Consider the following 23,287-nt stretch of genomic DNA (forward strand, 5'->3'; position numbering starts at 1 on the left):
GCCTGGTGACAGAGTGAGACTCCGCCTCAACAACAACAACAAAAAACCCCAAAAACCCCCCAAAATAAAAAACAAAAACAGAGCTAGTTCAAGCTATGAATAACACATCCAGAACATTCTGGTGACAGGAAGAAGCCTTCAGAAACAGAATAGCCTGTTGGCTATTCTCAGCTGGCCATTTGGTCCTGGATGGACTCAGTCAGGCTCATGATACTCATTGTATTGTAATCACCCCAGCATGCAAACAGATTGGACAACAGTTCAAAGACTGGGCAACAGAACACAATTAAGAAGTGATTAACTTACGGGAAAAGATGAAAAGAGCTCAAGTATGAAAGCCATGTGGCAGAAAACCCTGGGAGGAGGTGATCACCATTTCCAAGCATTGAAATTCCATAAATAAAAGGCTAGAAGAGGAACTTCTCGGGGGATGATTTAAAAGGTAATGGCATATCTTTGAACAATGAGGATTCCAGGCTGAAATCTCAAGAGGAAGCTTCCTTGTTGTGGTTCTCGACAGGAATAATCCGTTGAGGAAATGATAGAATTCCTTTTAACGTGTCGGTAGGTGAAACAGCAAGAGGAACACAGGCCAATCAGATAATGTGAATTTGTCCTCCAGCAAGTGCTGCACCGGAGCTTAGTGAATGAGTAAGGTTCTCCCAGACTCAGGGCAAAGGGAGCACAGGCTCCACTATAGGCAGCAGTTGATGGAGAACCTCGATTTGGACGGAAGAAAATTCCTGGTTTCTCTTTTTCTGAGGCTGAAGAAGAACAGAAGCTCATCAAATAGAGGAGGGCTGGCTACTCCTGTAGCCATAAAAAGGGAGACGTAGATATTTTCAGCTTTGCAGACCCTCCAGGCTCTGTGTCAACCGCTCACCTCTGCCTTCGTAGACTAAATGCAGTCATAGACATGGGTAAATAATGTGTGTGGCTGTGTTTTAATAAAACTTTATTTGCAGAAACAGGCAGTGCCTAGGGAGCATGGTTTGCTGACGGCTGATCTCAAGAAGCGGGAAAGACGCCCTGTAAAAGAGCGAGGAAATTTAAAGAGAATGGGTTCAAGTACCATCTCTACACTTAACGGCTAGTTAATTAACCTTTGTGAACACTTGGGGTTTTTTTTTGTCCATGAAAAGGGTTAATTGCAGTGCCTCCCTCATGGGTTTGTTCTCAGAATCAAATGGAACAATGTCTGAATAATGCTTATCATAGGCCTGGGTGCACAGAGGTACTAAAATAAGAGAAAGAGTAAAAAGAATGCACATTTTATTATAGTTCTTACCCTATTCTATTGGGTTTATGTAACTGTTTCCTTCACTAGTATGAGCTCCTGAAGTTCAAAAATCCCACTTAGTTAACACACGTCTCCAGTACCCATCATGGTGGCACATGGTGGGTGGTGTTTTGGGTTTGAAAGCAGCACTGGGGATGGGGGTTGGGGGCAGTGGTTTAGTGAGGGAAGGCTCCCATGGGAGTGGGAACCAAGGAAGCAGGACACGGTGGGAGAAGGAGCGAAGCAGAGGTTTTTGTGAACTGGAGTCTAGCTTCAGCCTGATGCCTTGGGGATATACATTGCGTGTATCGGGAGCAGATACTGCACCCCAGCATTAGCTCATGTTGAAGCAAAGGCGCTGGCCTTTCATGGCCTGGAACAGTCAGTTACTGGCTGTAGGCTGGCCTCATTAAGAGTGAGGAGATAATCTCCCAGGTGAATTGGCTTCTGTGCTGCTGAATGAGAGCAGCTGGGAGCTGTTAGCTCTGCCAATGGGGTGGGGGGATGGGTGAGGGGGGCATGACAGCTTCTCTGCAGTGCCCAATTATTGCTTGTTCCATAAAAGCCTATGTGTTCTGTGGTTATGCTCTAAATCACCCGTGAAACACAGCTGGTTTATAGGAAACGGGAGAAGGGCAGAGCCAGGGTGACTAAGTCATCACCTGTCACTCCAAAGATAAATTGTTTAGCTGAGAGGCTGAGCCCAGAGATGGTGAGGAACCTGACTCAAGGATGGTGATGTTCTCTCTTTGCAGGGACAGGAAGTGGCTTCTTTTTTCAGTGGCCTGTGGGCGTTTCCTTTGCCTGGAGGAGTGTGTGGTACCATCCAGACTGAGGGTTGCTGAAATCCCTCACCGGGCTTGACACAAGTGCCAATAATGCCACAGTAACATCTGCCTGGGTTCTGGCATCTGGCGAGAGTGGGATTGAATCCCAGCTCTGCCACTTTAGCCATGTGACCTTGAACCAATGACTTAGCAATATAAGCCTTATTTTCCATGTCTGTAAAATGGGAATAGCAATACTTCCCAATTCTTAGGGCTTTTGTGAGGCTTAGAGTTAATGCTTATAAAATGGCTGGCACTTAATTAAACTCCAATTTCAATACACGGTAATTTTATTTACTTTCTTTGTTATGATGGTGTATTTGTTATGTATTTATAGAAATGGTATTGTTCAGTTAATGTTTCCCAGTTGTCATTTGCATATTACTTTGGATTTTTGCCATATCTGTTGCCACCTGTACTATTATTTATTTAGCATACATTAGTTGACTCTTGAAAATAAAACTTAAATAGTTTTAATAGGACCAGGGCAATAAGGGGTTTGGATGGGCTAGTGCTTGGCCTATGATAAGTATGCTATGAATGGGAGCTACTATTATCATCAACACTGACATTAAATGACTCTTAGTTTTGTATCCTATCTGGGAATTTGCATTGACTCATTTCATTTCTTCCTTTTAGAATCAAGTTGCTTGCATTCTCTCCATTGGATGAGGTCACGTCTTTACTCCTGCCTGAGCTAATTGATGTATTCTTAAAGTGGCTTGCTTGGCTAAGAATTTCATGCATAGTATCAGGGGATTTTTTCTTTCCTCTGTTAAATAACTTGGGCTCTGACAGATTACAAGGAAGTTATTACTCAGAGCTAAGTGCTCAAAACTGATTGTAGGGAGCAGTGGAAATTCCCCTTCCTTGCCTAAAATAACTGGAACTGGAACATGACAATATGAGCTTTGTCCAGGCTTGAAACAATATCCTTTCCAAGTGAATTTTGTACGGAAATACTTACCAATATATAGTGGTAGTTCTCACTGACAGGCTAGAAAAAGGTTAGTCATTCCCCGTATTCCATAGCTAAAAGGGCCATTGTTAGGGACAATAAGCCCCCGAGGAGTGAAATTTAAGCATGTGGACATAGTAATATTGGACTTACCTGACTTCTCCCTGCCCCTTATCCCATTTGATTCCTTCACTATCAAAAGAATCTAATTCCGGAAATAGACATGCTCTCCATTTGTTTGATTATTTTTATTGCAAGTATGTTTGTGACAACCTTCCCCTGAACACCCCCGAGCAGGTCCTGAGGAAACGGGAGAAGGAAATGCTCAGGTCCTTATAGTAGATGCGAGTTCAGAGTAGCTGACTCAGATGAATGTCCGTGAGTTCAAATTCCACAGCAGTTTTTAATCCCATGTCTTGAGCTGTTTCAGAAGGTTGATAATTAGCAAGGGCATGTGTCCAGCCCTCGCAGACTCAGGATGTAAAGATCTGGAGATTTTGTTGGAGTGAGTATTCCATTGCTGAACTGTTATGCTCATTATTACAGATTAAAAAAATAAACTGGGCAAGATCTTGTGAAGTGCTTCACTCTGTTTTTTTTTTGTTGTTGTTTTTGTTAATAAAAATTTCTTATTAAAAAAAATTTAAGGCTAAGTGGAAAAGGGGGGCAGGAATAAAAGTGGGAATCCGTCAATGAGCTTTTTTTGTTATTATAAGCTCCAAGAAATTTTGTTAGTGCTGGTCATATTAGCTAGTGTTAAGATTTTCTCAAGGCCTGAAATCTACTGCATGCAATTTATTAAGCTGCAGCACCCGTGCCAGGAAACATTCCCCTCTAAAGGAAGAAGGAGGCGGAGTGTAAGGGTTATTTTGATTTACCTTTCCTGGCTGAGGTCTCTGAAATCACTCTCAACACAACAGGCTTCCTCTTTTGGGGAGGGTCTCCCTCTCCCACCAACCTTGCAGGTTCAGGAGGGAGGCCCTGGGGGGCAGGAATTTGCTCCACCCACTAAGTGAGGCCAGATGATTCTGGCATTTAGTGGAGTGGCAGGTGGGACTTCAGAGCTCACTAAAGTCTTTCCTTGCTTTTCCCTCTTCCGTGTCTCTCATCAATGCAGAGGAGTCACATCTTTAGGCTCCTAGAATGGATATGACTCCAACTCTGCCATCCCAAGCTTGGCAGGGGTAATAGTAGGAATGAGAGGGAAATACCAATATTAGTGGGGCCTGCCAATTCACACACGTGCAGGTCGCAGGGGAAGCTTGAGCTGGGAGGGCGTGTGATGCCGGCTCTTCCCTTAAGAAGGGGGCGTCCCCCTGCTCCTGAGCGAGTAAGCACAGTTTACAAAGGCATATATATTTTTTCTTATACTGTACTATGGTACCTTGAATGCAAGTCTACTATTGCATCTATCACAGTATTCAAAGAAATAGTCATCTCTATACTCCACAGTACCCCTTATGTGGATGCCTAAAGAGACTTGAAAAGAATCCTTATGGCAGCATGGCTGGTCATGGTGATCACCTGGATATGCACAAAATGGCCAACAAGGAGAATGGGTTCTGGGTTGGGTATGTGTTCCAAGTATAGCCAGAGAGATTCTTGCCTGGGACTTTCGTGAGAGCTATTGGGAAAAAGGGGTGTGTGTGTGTGTGTGTGTGTGTGTGTGTATGTGTGTGTGTGTGTGTGTGTGTGTGTTTCTTTTGGTTTCTTTTGGAGCCACCAGTTGTGGGGACCATCTAGGCCTGAAGCTACAGATGATTGCTTTGCCATTCACATGGAGACAGCCTACTTGAAAGTAATGGCAATATAGAGGAAAGCAGAGCCAAGAAATAGAGAATGACACATTCTTGATAACGCTTCTCGCCGCCTGGATCCAGCATGCCTGAAGTCAGCAGTAAACTTGGATGCTTCAGTTACAAGTGCTAAGTTCCCTTTCATTCTTTTTTTTTTTTTTTTGAGTTGGAGTCTCGCTCTGTTGCCCAGGCTGGAGTGCAGTGGCATGATCTCGGCTCACTGCAAGCTCCGCCTCTCAGGTTCACGCCATTCTCCTGCCTCAGCCTCCCGAGTAGCTGGGACTACAGGCGTCTGCCACCTCGCCGGGCTAATTTTTTGTATTTTTAGTAGAGATGGGGTTTCACCATGTTAGCCAGGAAGGTCTCGATCTCCTGACCTCATGATCCGCCTGCCTCAGCCTCCCAAAGTGTTTAGATTGCAGGCGTGAGCCACCGCACCCGGCCTCCTTTCATTCTTAAACAAGATGAGTTATGTCATTGTCATGTGCAACAAAAGCAGTCTTGGCTATTTCATCTTCCTCCTATTGATCTGAACTCTAAATGTATAGGTAAATACTTATTTGGTTAGAGACCAAGCTTTGCAAGAGAGAAAAGTCACTATTCCAAGGACCAAGCGCTTAGGCTCATTTGTGCTCCAGGTTGGACTTTTATTTTGAGAAATTGGCCTGCTTTAATCACAGATAATTTGTCTAAGCTATTCCAATTGCGATTGAATAGTCATTTATGCCATAAGTTGGAATCAGCCAGTGCCTTCAAATGTTGATATCTGTGATGAGTGCAAACAACTTTTTTTTTTTTTTTAACAATCAGTTTTCATAACAGGGGTGCACACTCAGCCCCTGAGTCACCCGTTGGCTAACAGTTCTCTCTCCCATTTGTGATGGCCATTCACCCATCTGAATTTTTGATAAATATACACTCCCAAATATCTGTCCTTAATGAGCCTCTATGTTATGCTCTGGCATGTGGGATATTGCCCCATAATCCTGTGGCCCCAGTATAGACAGGTACCCATTTCCTGTGGCTGCCCACTGAGAGAGTGGTGATTTCCCCATCAGAGGCATCAGCCTTTGACTTGTTTTTCTTGTAGATATGATGCTTCATGCCAAGTCATCCACCAAACACCATGCAACGAGGGACAGGGCTGAGTTGTCTAGAGATGCAAAAAGAAAATTTTGTAAGCTGGTTGCATAACCATCGCTCCTTGTTAGCACTAGTACCTAAGAGGACTGTCTTCCTCTTTCAGCTTTCCAGAGATCTGTGTGCCCTCAGGAAGCAAGTGCAATAGGGATCTATCTCCAAGAATATGGACACTAAACAGGTACAGGGCCCAGGACCACACAGAAGCCGGGAGAGACACAGGCGTGTCCACTCAATGAGGCATCTGGCATTTCAAGACATAAAGATGAAGAGATGCCAAAATAGGGGTTACCCAAATTTATGAAATATATTTTTTTCTTTTTTTTTTTGTTTTTCAGAGACAGGGTCTCATTCTATCACCCAAGCTGGAGTGCAGTGGTTCCATCATGGCTCGCTGCAGCCTTGACCTCCTGGGCTCAAGTGAGCTTCCCACCTCAGCCTCTTGAGTAGCTGGGAACTACAGGCATGTGCCACCATGCTTGGCTAATTTTTGTTTTTTAAATTTTTTGTAGAGACAGGGTCTCATTATGTTGCCCAGACCGGTCTTGAACTCCTGGTCTCAAGCGGTACTCCAGGTTTGGCCTCCCAAAGTGCTAGGATTATAGGCATAAGTCACCACTGGTCTCCTTGGAATATTTTTCAGTGTTATATTGAACAAAATAAAAGTTTGAATACACACACACACAAATTACTGTTCATTGCAATGGCATTGTGCTGTATACAAGGCTGTAGAAGTTATTAACCATATTGTCTTAGAATGAACTTGAGGTAACATGATCTGTGGATGGGTACATAAGTATAAAATTGCCCTATTACGAATGCATCCCTGTGAATTCATGCAATCTTTTTGGAGATGACATTGGAAAGTCAATATGAGGCCAAGGCCAAATGTCCCCTGGCTCCTCACAGCCAACCCTACTAGAAGGCATTAAGTTAATACAAAATTAAGATTTTTTTTTTTTTTGAGATGGAATCTCACTCTGTCACCCAGGCTGGAGTGCAGTGGCATGATCTCGGCTCACTGCAACCTGTGCCTCCGGGTTCAAGCGATTCTCCTGCCTCAGCCTCCTGAGTAGCTGGGACTACAGGCACACGCTGCTGTGCCTGGCTAATTTTTGTATTTTTAGTAGAGACGGGGTTTCACCATGTTGGTCAGGCTGGTCTCAAACTCCTGACCTTGTGATCCACCTGCCTTGACCTCCCAAAGTGCTGGGATTACAGGCATGAGCCACCATGCCCGGCCAAAAAATTAAGATTTAAAAACATGATTAGGTTGTGTCTTGTGCTTCCTGCCTCCATAGGCCTGGAAGAGAAGGGCAGTGTGGCGTAATGGAACTAACACTAACTTGATGGGGACCCAAAGGAATGCAATGCTTGCTCTTGTGGCTTTGCCCCAGCTAGCCATGAGAGCGTGGGGGAAATCACTTACCGTCTTTGGATTTCCCCATCTATAAAGATGTTAAGTGTTGGACGATGGGCTTGCAAGTTTCTTCTAAAACTTGGTGATCACATCTGTTCCATGTGGACGGTCTAGGTACTAGGGATACAGTGGTGTGAAAAATCACCCTACGCAGATCGTTCCTGCCTACAGGGAATGAGGTAGGGGGATGAAGACAGAGAGGTGAGAGGATAAGGGGGTGGAGTTTATGGGTATGTTGATAACAAGCAAAAATATGAACTCTACAATGTTAGAGGGAGCAAACGCAATGAAGAGCAATGAGCAAGGGAAGGAGCTAGAGAGTGGTCAGGGAAAGCCTGTCTGGCCATCAGTGCTTCCCAACTGATTGGCTATTTTTTTAGAAAGACATTAATAAAGGATGTGCCATAGAGCGGGTGGAGGACTCAGTGGGCAGAAGAGCCACTGAAGAATCTACTAGATACAGAAAATGATGGTCATAGGTAATGGTGGTCGTTCATTATTTTTGCATACCGATATCCAATTGTTCAAGTGTCACTTGTTGAAAAGACTACCATTTTCCTACGGAGGAAATAATCCAAGTTTTAAAAAGTTCCACTTAGTGGTCATTTCTATGAACAAAATGAATAGTGCTGGATAACAGATGAGACTTACATGATTCAAAGGCAGTTACGTGAAGCCCTGGGGAAGAGCTTTCCAGGAGAGGCAACGGCAGGTGCACAAGCCCCGAGGTAAGAAAGGGAAATGTCAAGACCAGAAGGCAGGCTGATACGGAGGAATCTTCCAGAAGAAGTCCAAAGGATGAACTGAGACTGGACTTGAGGCAGGACCTTGTGAGCCCAGGTAAAGATTTAAATTCTACTCTAAGGAGCAATGGATACCATGGGTTTTGTGTTACATAATCAATTCTACCATATAGCTGCTTCGATGTAACTTACTGGCAAGAGTGAGTGCTTGGCCTGTATTTCAGAAATTTCTAGAGTCCTGAGAAACCACTGGGGGTGTGGCTGTGCCATCTGGCAACTTCCTGAGAGCCCCCTAATCTGGGAGAATTTATGAAGATGCTCAGGGATAGATGTACTTCACATTTCGGCTGTTGAACGGCCCTGTATGCAAATAGGAATTGTATTAGAATGAAGAATGAGTTTTGATATATGGGGTGCATGCGTGTTTACAATTCTTAATCTTGATGAGTCATGAAGAGTATTTCCACATTTCAATAAGTGAACATTCTGGTTATTGTTTACAGTATTTCTCTGTCCACAGCTTTTGAAACACCTTTTATTTGAAAATAAATTCAGGCTGGGCACGGTGGCTCACGCCTGTAATCCCAGCACTTTAGGAGGCTGAGATGGGTGAGTCACTTGAGGTCAGGAGTTTGAGACCTGGCCAACATGGAGAAACTCTGTCTCTACTTAAAAAAATTGAAAAATTAGCTGGGCATGGTGGCGCATGCCTATAATCCCAGCTACCTGGGAGGCTGAAGCATGAGAATCGCTTGAACCCAGGAGGTGGAGATTGCAGTGAGCTGAGGTCACACCACTGCACTCCAGCCTGGGTGACAGAGCGAGACTCTGTCTCAAAAAAAAAAAAAAAAAAGTTCAAAGTTACAAATATAGAAGTAGTATAAAAATACCTATATTGCCTTTATTTATCTACTGATATCTTAATATCCATCTGCATGATTGTTTATGCAGTCCTGTTAACTGGAACATTCTCACAGCTTTTTTTGTCTGTTATGATATTAGCATTTTCAAAGAATACAGCTTCCTCCTGTTTGATAGAATGTTCTCCATTTTCTGTTTGTCTGATGTGTCTTGATTCGGTGTAGGCTATGCATTCTTTGCTGGACTGTGGGGCAAAGAGGATGTTGTATCCTCCTCAGGATATCACATCTGGAGGCAGGTGGTGTCTATCTGTTCGTCACTGGTGGCATTAAATACCTCCAACGTTGAATCCAATGTTTGTGGATGAGACAAGGTGGGGGAGGGGAGGAAGAAAGTTGAAAACACAAGATGCCATGACTCAACATTAGTTAAGTTCTTGAGTCATCTGTGTTGCTAAATTAACCACCAATGCAAAGCACATGTAGGCACGCACACAAGCACACACGCACATGTTACAACACACACACACACACACACACACACACACACACACACAGCTCAGTTCTATGTTGCATTTTTAAAGCTATCACTGGCCGGGCACGGTGGCTCACGCCTGTAATCCCAGCACTTTGGGAGGCCGAAGTGGGCGGATCACCTGAGGTCAGGAGTTTGAGATCAGCCTGGCCAATATGGTGAAACCCTGTCTCTACTAAAAATACAAAATTGCCAGATGCGGTGGTGCACGCCTGTAATCCCAGCTATTCGGGAAGCTGAGGCTGGAGAATAGCTTGAACCTGGGAGGTGGAGGTTGCAGTGAGCCGAGATCGGGCCACTGCACTCCAGACCAGGCAACAGAGCGAGACTCGGTCTCATTAAAAAAAAAAAAAAAAAGCTATCACCAAAGTCCCGTTTTAGCATTGAGGACATTGGAAGAAATAATTTCGGGAGATTTTCAAATTCTGCATTAAGACTTCACATATAATTAGTACTTCCTAATAATTCCTTGGGTCTTACAGGATTTGGTGCTATGGCTAAGAGGTCTGTGGGCACCAGCCAAGCAAATGCATTAGCTTAGAGCAGTCGTTTTTAGCCCTGGCAGTTCATTAAATTCTCTTGGGTGGATTTAACACCCAGTGCTGTGCAGACCTCACCCCAGATCAACTGAATCAGAACTGAACGTGGGCCACAGATGGGAGAGTTTAGAAGCTCTGCAAGAACTTCTGATGTCCTGCCGAGGTACAGAACCATCAGCTGAAAAGTGTGATTCTGAAGCTTCAGTGATCCCCAAATATTCCTTGCCCTCTGGTCAGGTGCTCCCTTTAATAGCTAACATAGATTGAGTACTTACATGTGTACCAGGCCACATGTTGTGGGCATCCATAGATTTTTGTATTCACACATTTATTTCCCTTCTTTGTGTAAAATCTCCCTAATTTTCCTTTGGCTAACTACCACACCCACTTTCAGCTCGTGGTTTTTAGGGTGCTGACTGTGCACTCTGACTTCAAGGATGAACATTGATTCCCAGCTTGGCAAACTGATTGGTTCATAAATGATCTAAGTGGTCAAGTGAGACTTGAGCCCAGGACTTTCACTGAAATTATTGGGCAAGAGGCTGGACGTAGCAGCTCACACCTGGGATCCCAGCACTTTGGGAGGCAAAGGCGGGCAGATCACTTGAGTTCGAGACCAGCCTAGGCAACATAACAAAACCGTTTCCCTGCAAAAAAAAAAAAAACCAAAAAACAAAAAACAAAACACAAAAATTGGCCAGGCGCAGTGGCTCACTCCTGTAATCCCAGCACTTTGGGAGGCTGAGGTGGGCGGATCTCCTGAGGTCAGGAGTTTGAGACCAGCCTGGCCAACATGGCGAAACCCCGTCTCTACTAAAAATAGAAAAATTAGCTGGGCCTAGTGGTGGGCGCCTGTAATCCCAGCTACTTGGAAGGCTGAGACAGGAGAATCGCTTGAACCCGGGAGGCGGAGATTGCATTGAACCGAGATCATGCCACTGCACTCCAGCCTGGGCGACAGAGCGAGACTCTGCCTCAAAAACAAACAAACAAAAAACCACAAAAAATATGCTGGGCATGGTGGCGTGCACCTGTAGTTCCAGCTACTTGGTTGGCTGAGGATTGTTGGAGCTCAGGAGGTCTAGGTTGCAGTAAGCCGTGATCATGCCACTGCACTCCAGCCTGAGCAAGAGAAAAAAAAAGAAAGAAAGAAAGAAAGAAAGAAAAAAATAAATTATTGGCCAACAGATGTTTTTATCTTCTCTTGGACTTAACATGGAGAAAAGGGAACCATGAAGTAATCAGAGTTTACTACAGAGAGGGGCCAAGCCAAGAATGAAACCAACATAGAAGAAAGCAGAAAGAAAGAAAAAAAAGAACAGGGTGGATACGGTTTGAGCCCCCTGGATTTAGCCACGCCTGAAGCTATCAACTCCTGGATCATTAAGTTATATGAGTCAATAAATTCCTATTTTGCTTAAGTCAGTTTGAGTTGAGGTTTCTGCTATTGCAACTGAAAGGCTCCTGGTTAAAACACATTTAAAACTTTTAAAAATTTTACAGAAGTCCAGGAAGTAGTTATTGTTAGTATCCTTGTTTTATAGATGCTTTATAGACACTGAGGCTTAGGGAGTTAACAGCTTCAGATGATTCCTGTGTATACTTAAATATGAGAATCACTGATAAAGGTACTTGATCTAGCTGCTTCTTAAGGGTGATAACACTTTTTTTCTCTTCTTTCCTTTTCTTTCTTTCTTTTTTTTTTGAGATGGAGTCTTGCTCCGTCGCCCAGGCTGGAATGCAGTGGTGTGATCTTGGCTCACTGCAACCTCCGCCTCCTAGGTTCAAGTGATCCTCCTGCCTCAGCCACCTGAGTAGTTGGGATTACAGGTTACTCAGGTGGCTGCCACCATGCCCAGCTGATTTTTGTATTTTTAGTAGATGCAGGGTTTTGCCATGTTGACCAGGATGGTCTCGAACTCCTGACCTCAAGTTATCTGCCCAGCTTGGCCTCCCAAAGTGCTGGGATTACAGGCGTGAGCCACTATGCCCTGCCTCTCTTCTTTCTTCTTTTCTTTTCTTTCTTTTTTTTTTTTTTGAGACGGAGTCTCGCTCTTGTCACCCAGGCTGGAGTGCAGTGGTACGATCTCAGCTCACTGCAACCTCCACCTCCTGGGTTCAAGCAATTCTCCTGCCTCAGCCTCCTGAGCAGCTGGTATTACAGGCGCCCGCCACCATGCCTGGCTAATTTTTGATGTTTTGGTAGAGATGGGGTTTCACCATGTTGGCCAGGCCTGTCTTGAACTCCTCACCTCAAGTGATCCACCCACCTTGGCCTCCCAAAGTGCTGGGGTTACAGGCGTGCGCCACCATGCCCGGCCTCTTTTTGCTTTTAAAAATAAGTCTGGAGTCTAACATAGTCTAAGCAAAGAAGGTTTAAAATCCCCACCCAGACCTAACTGACTAGGGCCATGGAGCATGGGGTGAAATCATGAGGTGCTTGGGTTGGAACCGTGTGGATTGCAGCGTGGCTGCAGTGGTGCCTGCCACTTCCTAGGTGTGTGGCCATGAGCACACTGTGAAGACCCTCTGCCACAGGGCTTCCAGGAGCACCGCCTGCAGCGGGCTTCCCACACCTTCACTGAGATGAACCATCGAAAGCCCTGCCTTGGCACTCAAACCTCCAATTTCAAGATTGGGAAAGACAAGTGTATTTCTGCATGTTGAATTTTCTTTCTTTTTGTTTCCTCTTTTGGTGGCTTTATGAGGAAGATGGAGGTGGCAATTGCCAAGTGGAGAATAAGAAGAAGTGGAAAAAAATGAAAATAAGAAAGATAATAGGTGGAAGAGAGTCAGGCAGAGTGAAGGAATCAAAGAGCGGCACAGGACCCTGAGATCCGCCTAGCATCCATTAACAAGTATTCACGGAGCACCGATGTGTCAGGAACTGTCCTCCGCCCTGGGACCATGCTGGGACATGGACCGAGAATAGTCACATGTCTGTGGAGCTAGTGAGGGAGAGAGATGCCAAATAATTATGGAAAAGGTATATCTGCCAAGTAGAGGTAAGTGCCGGGGAGAAAAATAAAACAGGGAGAGTAATGGATGCGTGGGGGATGGGAGGGCACAGCCTTGTAAGGGGTGGGGAGTGAGCCACCAGAAAGGAGGGTATATTAGTCCGTTTTCACGCTGCTGATAAAAACATACCCGAGACTGGGAAGCAAAAAAGGTTTAATTGGACTTACAGTTCCACGTGGCTGGGGAGGCCTCAGAATCATGGCAGGGGGCAAAAGGCACTTCCTACATGGTGGCGGCAAGAGAAAAATGACGAGGAAGCAAAAGCAGAGACCCCTGATAAAAGTATCAGATCTCATGAGACTTATTCACTATCACAAGAATAGCAAGGGAAAGACCGGCTCTCATGATTCAATTACCTCCCCCTGGGTCCCCCCACAACACATGGGAATTCTGGAAGATACAATTCAAGTTGAGATTTGGTGGGGACACAGCCAAATCGTATCAGAGGGAAAAGCCACAAGGTGGGAACATGCTTGGCCAGAAGCTATTGTGGCTGGGGTGAAGAAAACAAGGACGGAGAGGAGTGACAGAGGCCATCAGGCCAGGGCGTGAGTGAGGATCCCAGAAAGATAGAGATATGTCAGCGGGTACAAGTCTGGGGGCACTGGAGCGATGCAGGCCTTCACAAATTCCGAAGTGGTAGTGGCCCTTGCAGGTGGCCTTTGTAGGGAGGGCCTTCAACTCCAGCACACATCCCTGCCCTGGGCTAGCCATCCTTGCTTCAGCTTTGACCAGGGTCCATATCAGCAAGATCATTGTGACCCTGTTAAAGAATCCAGGTTTTGTTGGAAGGATCATGGGGAGTCCCAAGCAGCATGAGACAATGCGCTTTACATTTTAAAAATGACACTGATGCTTCTCGGAGAACAGATTGCAGGGATGAGGGCAAGTGGGCAGCAGAGAATGTGACCAGTCATCTGGATTTACCAGAGATGGAGGGGTTTCCTGGGACATGGGACTTCCAGGGACAAAACCAGGCACTGGAATGAGCTGATGACCAGAAAGCAGAGAGACCAGAGAGGAGGCTATAGTAGTCTTTGACCAAGAGGTGTGAGTAGCTTAGATTAGGGTAAGAGCAGGGCTGTGATGACAAGCGGTTGGATTTGAGAGGTATTTTGAAGGAGTGGTAAGAGGAGCTATTGCTTTAAGAAGCAGGCAAGGCAAATCTCAGCTCCAGGTGGCAGGAAAGCCTTTCAGAAGGAGAGCTCTCACCCTGGGCCTGCAGGCCAGTTGGCTGTGGGACATCAAGTCATTCATCTCCCCAGGTTCCAGCTCTTTCCTCGGTTGGGGAGGGTGTGGGGGTAATGATGCCAACCTCGCAGTGTTGCCACAGGATTCAGTCACACATCCTGGGATGCCCCTTTGCAGCAGGTGCTGGCTGATATTATTTCTTAGGAGCCTGCACAAAAATTTAAGAAGGCATTTAGGAAGTTGGTGGAGCAGGAGATATGGATGTTTATAAAATGAGAGCTGTCTCTCCTTTGGCCAGTGCTGGATCCTCTCTGCTGTTTGTATCTACATGTGAGAGGGAGGTTTGGGGATCTTATGTGCAAGACTGCTTTCTGTGCTCTCTGTCTCTTATCTCCTGTCCCCAGCTGAGGTAGGAGCCGTCACTCCATCATCCTTGCCCCCGTCGAATGGTGCTTGTCTTCTGCCCCAGCCCTTGCCCTCCTGGCCTGCTGTGTAGTTAGTTCCTGGCATGGAATGGAATCTAAGAATGAAAGACAGGTCGAGCCCTTACAGTTTGCAAGGCCATCTGAGAGGTCTTCGTGTACCTTGATGATGACGGGGTCCTCTCCACAGCCCCAAGTGAAGTTCAAAGGAAAAAGATAATAACGCGGCCGGGCGCAGTGGCTCATGCCCGTAATCCCAGCACTTTGGGAGGCCGAGGCGGGCGGATCACAAGGTCAGGAGATCAAGACCATCCTGGCTAACATGGTGAAACCCCGTCTCTACTAAAAATACAAAAATTAGCCAGTCGTGGTGGTGGGCGCCTGTAGTCCCAGCTACTTGAGAGGCTGAGGCAGGAGGATGGCATGAACCTGGGAGACAGAGCTTGCAGTGAGCTGAGATCGCGCCACTGCACACCAGCCTGGGCGACAGAGCGAGACTCTGTCTCAAAAAAAAAAAAAAATATATATACACACACACACACACACACACACACACATATTCATATATATACGTATATATGTATACATGTATATACGTATATATGTATATATACATATATGTATATATATCCATGTGTGTGTATATATATCCATGTGTATATATGTATACGTATATATACACGTATATATGTACGTATACATGTATATATATACACATATACAGATACATGTATATATACATATATATAAAATAAAGCATAAGATATAATTATATTTTTGGAAATGACACATAACTCTATGTATTATGATGGTTTTCTTTTGAGGTTTCCTCTTTGGTTCTTGAGGAGTCAAATCCCTTCTTTGCTATGCCGTAGTTGCATGTTGAGAGGTCCTGTGCCAGGTGCTCAGGTGCCTGTCATTTCATCAGCTACACACCCTGGAAGCAGGCCTGACTCAATGGTCCCTGCTTTCCCCATGAAGCAGCAGTGACTCAGAGAGATGACACATTTGCCCACGGTCATTCAGTTTCTCAGCTAAATGAAGCTTCATTTAGCTTCATTTCTCCTTCTCTTAATCTCCAGGTATCTATTTATCTATCCATCCATCCATCCATCTTCCTATCCATCTATTCTCTATTGATGTATGTATATATATATATGTATTATGTATCTATGTGTCTATTACCTGTTTATGTTTCTATTACTTATCTATATCTACCCATTTATATGTATGTATGTATCTATCTACCATCTATCTATCCATCCTCTACCTATTTTCCATCTATCTATCATCTATGTATGTATTATGTACCTATGTGTCTGTCATCTATGTATCTATTACCTATCTATCTTTTTAAAAATTTATTTAATAGAGACGGGGTCCCGTTATGTTGCCCAGGCTGGTCTTGAACTCTGGACTCAAGTGATCCTCCTGCCTCGGCCCCCCAAAGTGCTGGGATTACAGGCATGAGCCACCATGCCTGGCTGTACCTATCTATCTTTATCTACTCATCTATATATATTGTATGTATCTATCATCTATCTATCTATCTATCTATCTATCTATCTATCTATCTATCTATCATCTATCAATCATCTATGTGTCTTATCTATCATCTATCTTATCTATGTATCTCTATGACCTGTCTATCTATGTATCTATCTGTTATCTCTCTGGTTATCTGGTCTCCAGTGCCCACCTCCTCCTCCCAGTCTTTTCTCTCACCCTGACTCTGAACTTCTCCAGGCCTGGTGTTATGTTTTCTGTAGCGTGACCTTATAACTAACCATCCCATCGAAGACGCTTGGGGGAGTGAAAGGAGGGGCTATTAATACTTCTGCAAAAACTGGCGCTGCCCTGAGCACACTGGGATGCCTGGTGGTGGTGGTGGTTAGGTGTAGATTTCTCCCCATTCCTTAGTGCCTCACAAGGGTGCTGTAAAACGTTTGTCGAGTGTGTTTTATCAACAGTCTCAGAAGGGGTGGTAAAAAAAAATACTCGTTTGTTTCATACAGAGAGAAATTGCATTACAAAGTGATGACTTACAAAATCACCGAAAGGAAATCAATGGTGAGGTGGAGCCAAACCTCTGCTGTAGAATTTCTGGATTCAGATAACACAGAGCTCTCTCCATCAAGCATTTGTGTGCAGAAGCTAAGCTCCAGGCCCAGGGAGAGAGCTTGAAGCAAAGACATAATAAAACAGTAACAGCTGCTACCGAAGCTGTGTCATGCAACTTTGCTTAGCCCTTTACTGTATGGTCTCATTTATTCCTTAAGGAAGGTGAGATTATAATAGAAAAGGAAAATGAATGTGCCGCAGTCACACAAATCACTCACTACTACACTGCCACCAGAGCCCAACAGAGTAGCCACAATTGTTTTCTTCCTAAAAGGTGCAATGGAGTAATACTGCACAATTTCCATTTAGATGTCCCTTCAACACGTTTCCTGGGAATCTTAGAGCAGTTAACACCCATTTAGAAAGGAGCTTTTTCATTTCGTAAATATGTTCAGTGCACCAAAACAGGCAAACAAGATAACCCGAACTCTTAACTTGCCTCAGCACCTCACCCCTTAAGATACATAGAAACAAATCAGAAATTATGCTCAATAAGGAATTTGCAAGGCTGAGGAGGGGGAGCTGGAGTCAAATCAGCTGGGTCTTCCGCCCCCTTCAGTAGGAGGGGGAAGATTACTGCAGAGAATGTAACAAGGAGAATAAGAGAGAGGGAGGGAGGGGGAAGAGAGAGAGAGAGGGAGGGGGGTGGAGAAAGAGAGAGACAGAGAAGGAAAGGAAGAAAGAAAAAGAGAGAGAATAACTGTTGGTAACGGACAGCCCAAGAAAATTGTAGAAAAGTCCATCTCTGGTACCTACCTGGTGCCACCTTCCCCCCACCCCCGCGTTGTTTATTTATTTATTTATTTTTTCTAGCCACCACCATTTTGTTGCCTGGCAGAGGTGTGAGATGCAAGGCTGTTTACAAAGCCCCCAGCAAGAGCAATCCCATCATCAGGAGGTTTGCTTCCCCCCCGGGCCAGCCCTCTCGCTCTCCATGCCCGTCTTGGCTGCATGCGTTGTACCTAACACATTTAACCCGCGTTTCTTAAGAGTTCTGCAAAATGGTGTCTGCTGGTGTTTGCAAGGGAAGCTCCCGCTGGGCGTCCCGAGCTGGGTGGGAGCTGAGTGTGCGGTTCCCTAACGAGCTGGCGGCCGGCCTGAGCGGCTCTGATCTCCAATTCTGACGGCTTGTCCTTCAGGTGACCTATATTATCTGGCACCTCAGTTGCTGCTCACAAAGAAAAAGTATCACTGGAAGAAAGAAAAAAAAAATCCCAAGTGATTGTGTACATGCTCTTTATTGAGAATATTAAACTCAGACGCCCTCTGCTGGGCAAGACGGGAAGGGGAGGCTGGGAGTAGGGGAGGGTGGCCGGGAGGGCTCAGGAGAAGCCGGGGACGGCCTCCTTCCTGTGAGATCTGTGGGCATGATTCAGGGCAAAGGGCGCCCATCAGAGCTGCTTTAGGCAAAGGGAAATACAAAACAAAAGTGAAACCGCTGACAAGGAAATCATTTAATTGGGGAGAAATGACAACTTCTTCACTTGGATTTTTTTTTTTCCTGTTCCTAAAATTGTTGCTTTTGATAGGTGAGAGGGAATGGGGTGGGGGAGACTGCTGGACACTGCCAACTTATTCATCAAGACAAAGGGTTTGGGTTTCAGGGAAGTCCTAGCAAAGAGTGTGGCTCAGCGGGTAGAAGGGTAGCTGAAATACCAGGACATTTTTGAGAGTGAAACAGAGTGCTATGGATGATGATGCGGACACAGCAGGTATAGTCCAGAGTGTCCCAGGCAAATCTGACTACCTAGTCCAGCACTGCACAGAGAGCTTTCTAGGATGATATGAATGTTTTGCATCTGTCCTGTCCTATCTATCTATCTATTTATTTATTTATTTTTGAGACAGAGCCTTTCTCTGTTGCCCAGGCTGGAGTGCAGTGGCACGATCTCGGCTCACGGCAACCTCCAACTCTTAAGTTCAAGCGATTCTCGTACCCCAACCTCCCGAGTAGCTGGGATTACAGGCACCCGCCACCATGGCTGGCTAATTTTTGTATTTTTAGTAGAGACAGGGTTTCGCCGTGTTGGCCAGGATGGTCTCAAACTCCTGACCTCAGGTGATCCACCTGCCTCAGCCTCCCAAAGTGCCGGGATTACAGGCGCGAGCCACTGCGCCCGGACTGTCCTGTCCTATATGGTAACCACCACCCACATGTGGCTACTGGGCTCTTGAAATGCAGCTACGCAACTGTGAGGGGATGAATTCTTAACTTCATTTAATTTTTGTTATTCTGAATTTACATTTAAATAGTCACGTATGTCTAGTGGCTATCAGACGGTAGAGCTCTGGTCTTACTATTCACAGGAACACACCGTGACCCCCATTGACAGCAGCTAAGACCCCAGGAACAGGCTTGTTGCGAGAGGCCCTCCAAACAATTTATTGAATGAATAAAAACTCAGTAATCAAAAGTCACAGAGATAGAAATTCACAACACTTCTTGGAGACTTATAGGAGCTTCCAGAAACACAACTTCTCCCAGGGAGAGTCAAGAGAGCAGTGTCATTTCCTATAAAATGTCCAAGGCCAATCCCAGGTCCCGGTGTCAGCCCTTGCGTGTGGCACTGGCACCAGCAGCCAGAAAGGTTACTTGTGACTTGTTTTCAGTGCTTTCCTGGGAGTGTCCTGAAAGCTGGCAGTGTTTCTGCCTCGTCAGAAGAGGCCTCATTCATTTGGGGTTGTACCAGCAACTTAAAAAGTTTTTTTTTTTCTTCCCTCTTCCAGTGTTAATAGATTTTGAAAGAGGCATTTTTGTTTCTAATTACAAATTCCTGGGTGATGTCATTAAGCCCTCAAACACCCGGTGAGGGCGGCACTGAATGGGGAAAGACAATATGCTAACAAGTTATCTGAGGGTGTCAGAAAGAAATGATGAAAAACAGTACAGTTGGGGGAAATGTTTTCCAGCCTGCTTTCTGGTTTTAGCGACTGCATGGGAAGAGATAAGACACACATGGCTTTTATAAGGAGCCATCGGGATCTCTAGGGGACATGAGGCAGGAGAAAAGAATTGGGCTGAAAGCATCCAATCATCACATATTCACGGAGAAAGAGATTACAATATAGCAGAGGAAGCTCTTCCAGGGCTCCTACAGGGACCTTTGGGACAAAGATTCAGTGGGCTTTGGGACAGCTTGACTTCAACTAGATGGTATTTGAATAATCTGCTGGAGAGAAAACAGATATAGCACACACTGTCACATTTAGCGTTGAAACTCTCGGTTTGACTATGAGTAATGTTCAGCCATGCCCAAGGGTCAGGCCTACACTCACTCAGAAACAAGTGGGGAATTGAAGCAATTATTCAGATAATCCATAGACATAGCTACTGGCCAGTGCTGCACCCCTGATTTAGCCCAGAAACAGTAATGCTATTATAAGCTGTTGGTGATTTGTGGAGCAATCTTGAATTTATTAAGGAAAGGAGATTATAGAAAAATCCAGAATGCCAATGGGATGCATTCAGGTTGAGTCATGCAGAGTAAGGTGGGAAATGGAGGGCCTCCCACCCCTGCAAGGAACATCTTGCTTTAGGCCAAAATGGAAATAAAACTTTGGGTTGAAATTTTGCAGATGGTTTGTTTCTCCATATCACTGTTTTTACATGTGTAGTTGATAAATTTCATGTTGGATTGTATGTGGATCAAAAGGCAGAAAATGGTAAAATGGCATATTAAGAATTTTGAGATAATATGAATAAAATATTATTTACAGCTGTTTCTTAATTAGTACCTTCCCATGATTTTGAGTGGACTAGCCAGTGGGAAAAATGTGTTCATTTTCTTCAGTTGTTCAAAACTACTTTGAACAGAATATAGTTTACCTGCCTATAATGGAAAACCCAGATACCAGCAGCTTAGGCAAGATTTATGTTTCTCATTTACTGCATAATCTAGAGGTAGATAGCTAGAGGCAGAGGTATAATCCAGAGGTACCTACCTAGAGCTGGGTAGCTGCCTACCTCTACTCTACCCCGTCTCTACTAAAAATACAAAAATTAGCCAGGCATGTGCCTGTAATCTCAGCTACTCTGGAGTCTGAGGTGGGAGAATCGCTTGAACCCCTGGAGGCGGAGGTTGCAGTGAGCCGAGATCGCGCCACTGCACTCCAGCCTGGGCGACAGAGCGAGACTCCGTCTCAAAAAAAAAAAAAAAGAAAAAAAAAGAAAAAAGAAAGAAAGAAAGAAGGGCGACTCAATTAGACCCAATTGGGGTAAGCATCACGTAGACTTTACCATTTCAAAGAATCTTTAAAACACGGAAAGTAGTAGTTGATGTGGTGTGGATTTTAAGGCCAGATTTTTTGACCCTTCTTTGATCGTCACCTAGTCTTCCAGGTAGCAGATGGTCACATCGTCTTCCAGGGAGAAGGGCAGGAGGAATCACTGATGTCTGCACTCCTACGTGCAACCCCACCTCCACCTTTAAGGAGCTTTTGGGGAAGCCTCAATCAATGATTCTGACATCTCATTGGCCAGAGGTCTGTTAAATGGCCACCCCTAGTTGCAAAGGAGGCTGGGAAATGTAGTTTTAATCCCCCGCGACCCCTCCCCTTCGCCCTCACACACCAAGTTGAAATCACGTTATTAATACTAAGAAGGGAGACTCAGCTGGGCGCCGTGGCTCACTCCTGTAATCCCAGCATTTTGGGAGGCCGAGGCAGGCGGGTCACCTGAGGTCAGGAGTTCAAGACCAGCCTGGCCAACATGGTGAAACCCCATCTCTACTATAACTACAAAAATTAGCTGGGCATGTGCCTGTAATCTCAGCTACTCAGGAGGCTGAGGGAGGGGAAGAATCGCTTGAACCCGGGAGGCGGAGGTTGCAGTGAGCCAAGACCACACCACTGCACTCCAGTCTGGGCAACAGAGTGAGACTCTGTCTCTAAATAAATAAATAAAGAAGGGAGACCCAATTAGGGGTAAGCGTCATAAGTCTAAAGTAAAGTAGACTTTACCATTTCAAAGAATCTTTAAAGCATGGAAATTTGTATCTAGTTTTACAAAAATCATCCTAACTCAGTAGTTTATAGGAGCAACTTTTATTTGTAACTACCATGGAGCAAAATAATCATTATGTATAATAATTATATATGTCGAGGAGACAGTTAAGGGGTGTGTGTGTGTGTGCTCTAAGAATGTAAACCTCATTCTTACTGGCTGAGCTTAACTGCACTGCTCCTTGGGATTTTAAATAAATTAGCTGTGTCTTTGTCCGTCAGCAACTCAGTCTCCCTCTATTAGCATCTGTGCTGAGTAGTGCACTCCTGAGAACTAAATGAAGAGCTTCAGTAGTAGTTTCGTAAACCTGAAATGCAGTGTCTAGAGCAAGTTCAACTTCATTAGCGATTTGAAGAGAGATTTATCGAGCCAAAGGGAAGACCTCTCTGAACGGAGTTTGTCTGCCTTGATTTAAGTAACGAAAACAACCATGGCATTTGAGTGGTGGTTAGGTTCAGGTCTGAAACAATTTCTTTGTGAGTCAACTGTTATTAGCGGTGGAAGAAAGGATGGGGATGAAGGGAAGGGCCGGGAGTAGAGACTATGGCGGGGCATAGGGGCTGATCACACAGGGTCTTGCGGGCACATTAACAGACTGAATTTTGGCCTTTGGTTCGGTGGTTGGAAACTCTTTTAGGGCCAGGCAGTAACATCCGTGCATGAGGCTGGCCAGGGTACAGAAATAGAGAAAGGAGAAAAACTGCAGGGCTGTAAAGCATGTGACTCCCCAAAGCAATGGTCACTACCTGGCTCTAGAGGACTGATTCCATGGGAGACTAAAGACCTACCGCTACAAGCCAGTTAGATTTTTTTTTTTTTTTTTTTTTTTTTGAGACGGAGTCTCGATCTTGTCACTCAGGCTGGAGTGCAGTGGCGCAATCTTATATCACTGCAACCTCTGCCGCCCAGGTTCAAGCGATTCTCCTGCCTCAGCCTCCTGAGTAGCTGGGATTACAGGTGCCTGCCACCATGCCTGGCTAATTTTTGTATTTTTAGTAGAGGCAGGGTTTCACCATATTGGCCAGGCTGGTCTCGAACTCCTGACCTTGTGATCCGCCCGCCTCAGCCTCCCAAAGTACTGGGATTACAGGTGTGAGCCATCGCGGCTAGGGCAAGTTAGATTTATCAGGAAAAGCCCAGTATCTAAATACTTGTATGAAATCTGACGTCATAATGTTGGATCAAATTTTATAATGGGTCAAGTGCTGAACAAAGGTGGCCACAGTTAGCAACTGTTTGATGGGCAACATGGCGTTAGCAAGGCACTCTGAGCAGGGAAGACACGGATGCTTTCCCTTTCTCCTCCTCCTCTCTGCCTCCACCTCTTCCTTCTCCCCTCCCTGCCTCCTCTGACATGAGGTTCTCTCCAGCGGCCGTGGCAAGGATGCTTTTGAATGGAGTGGAGGGTAGCACAAGGCAGGTAGGGTAGGCATTGC

The 23,287-nt window shown here is 45.2% G+C and overlaps 1 long non-coding RNA gene across 1 annotated transcript in view, besides 1 other annotated feature; it reads left to right on the plus strand.

Annotated features, from left to right (window-relative positions):
- Positions 8,270-9,469: an enhancer, noted in NCBI's record as "CDK7 strongly-dependent group 2 enhancer chr20:52522628-52523827 (GRCh37/hg19 assembly coordinates)". NCBI's record gives its function as "activates an origin of replication core promoter dependent on BRD2, BRD4, P300/CBP, MED14 and CDK7 cofactors, with strong dependence on CDK7, by STARR-seq in HCT116 cells {active_cell/tissue: HCT116}" and the evidence as "EXISTENCE:reporter gene assay evidence [ECO:0000049][PMID:35650434]".
- BCAS1-AS1 (BCAS1 antisense RNA 1) overlaps positions 17,670-23,287 on the plus strand; it is a 28,093-nt gene continuing 22,475 nt past the window's right edge. The window contains exon 1 of the long non-coding RNA NR_199019.1: positions 17,670-17,747. This is a non-coding gene — a long non-coding RNA (BCAS1 antisense RNA 1). The remainder of the gene's footprint in view (positions 17,748-23,287) is intronic.

The sequence above is a fragment of the Homo sapiens genome, chromosome 20, assembly GCF_000001405.40.
Source record: "Homo sapiens chromosome 20, GRCh38.p14 Primary Assembly".
Taxonomy (NCBI): Eukaryota; Metazoa; Chordata; class Mammalia; order Primates; family Hominidae; genus Homo; species Homo sapiens.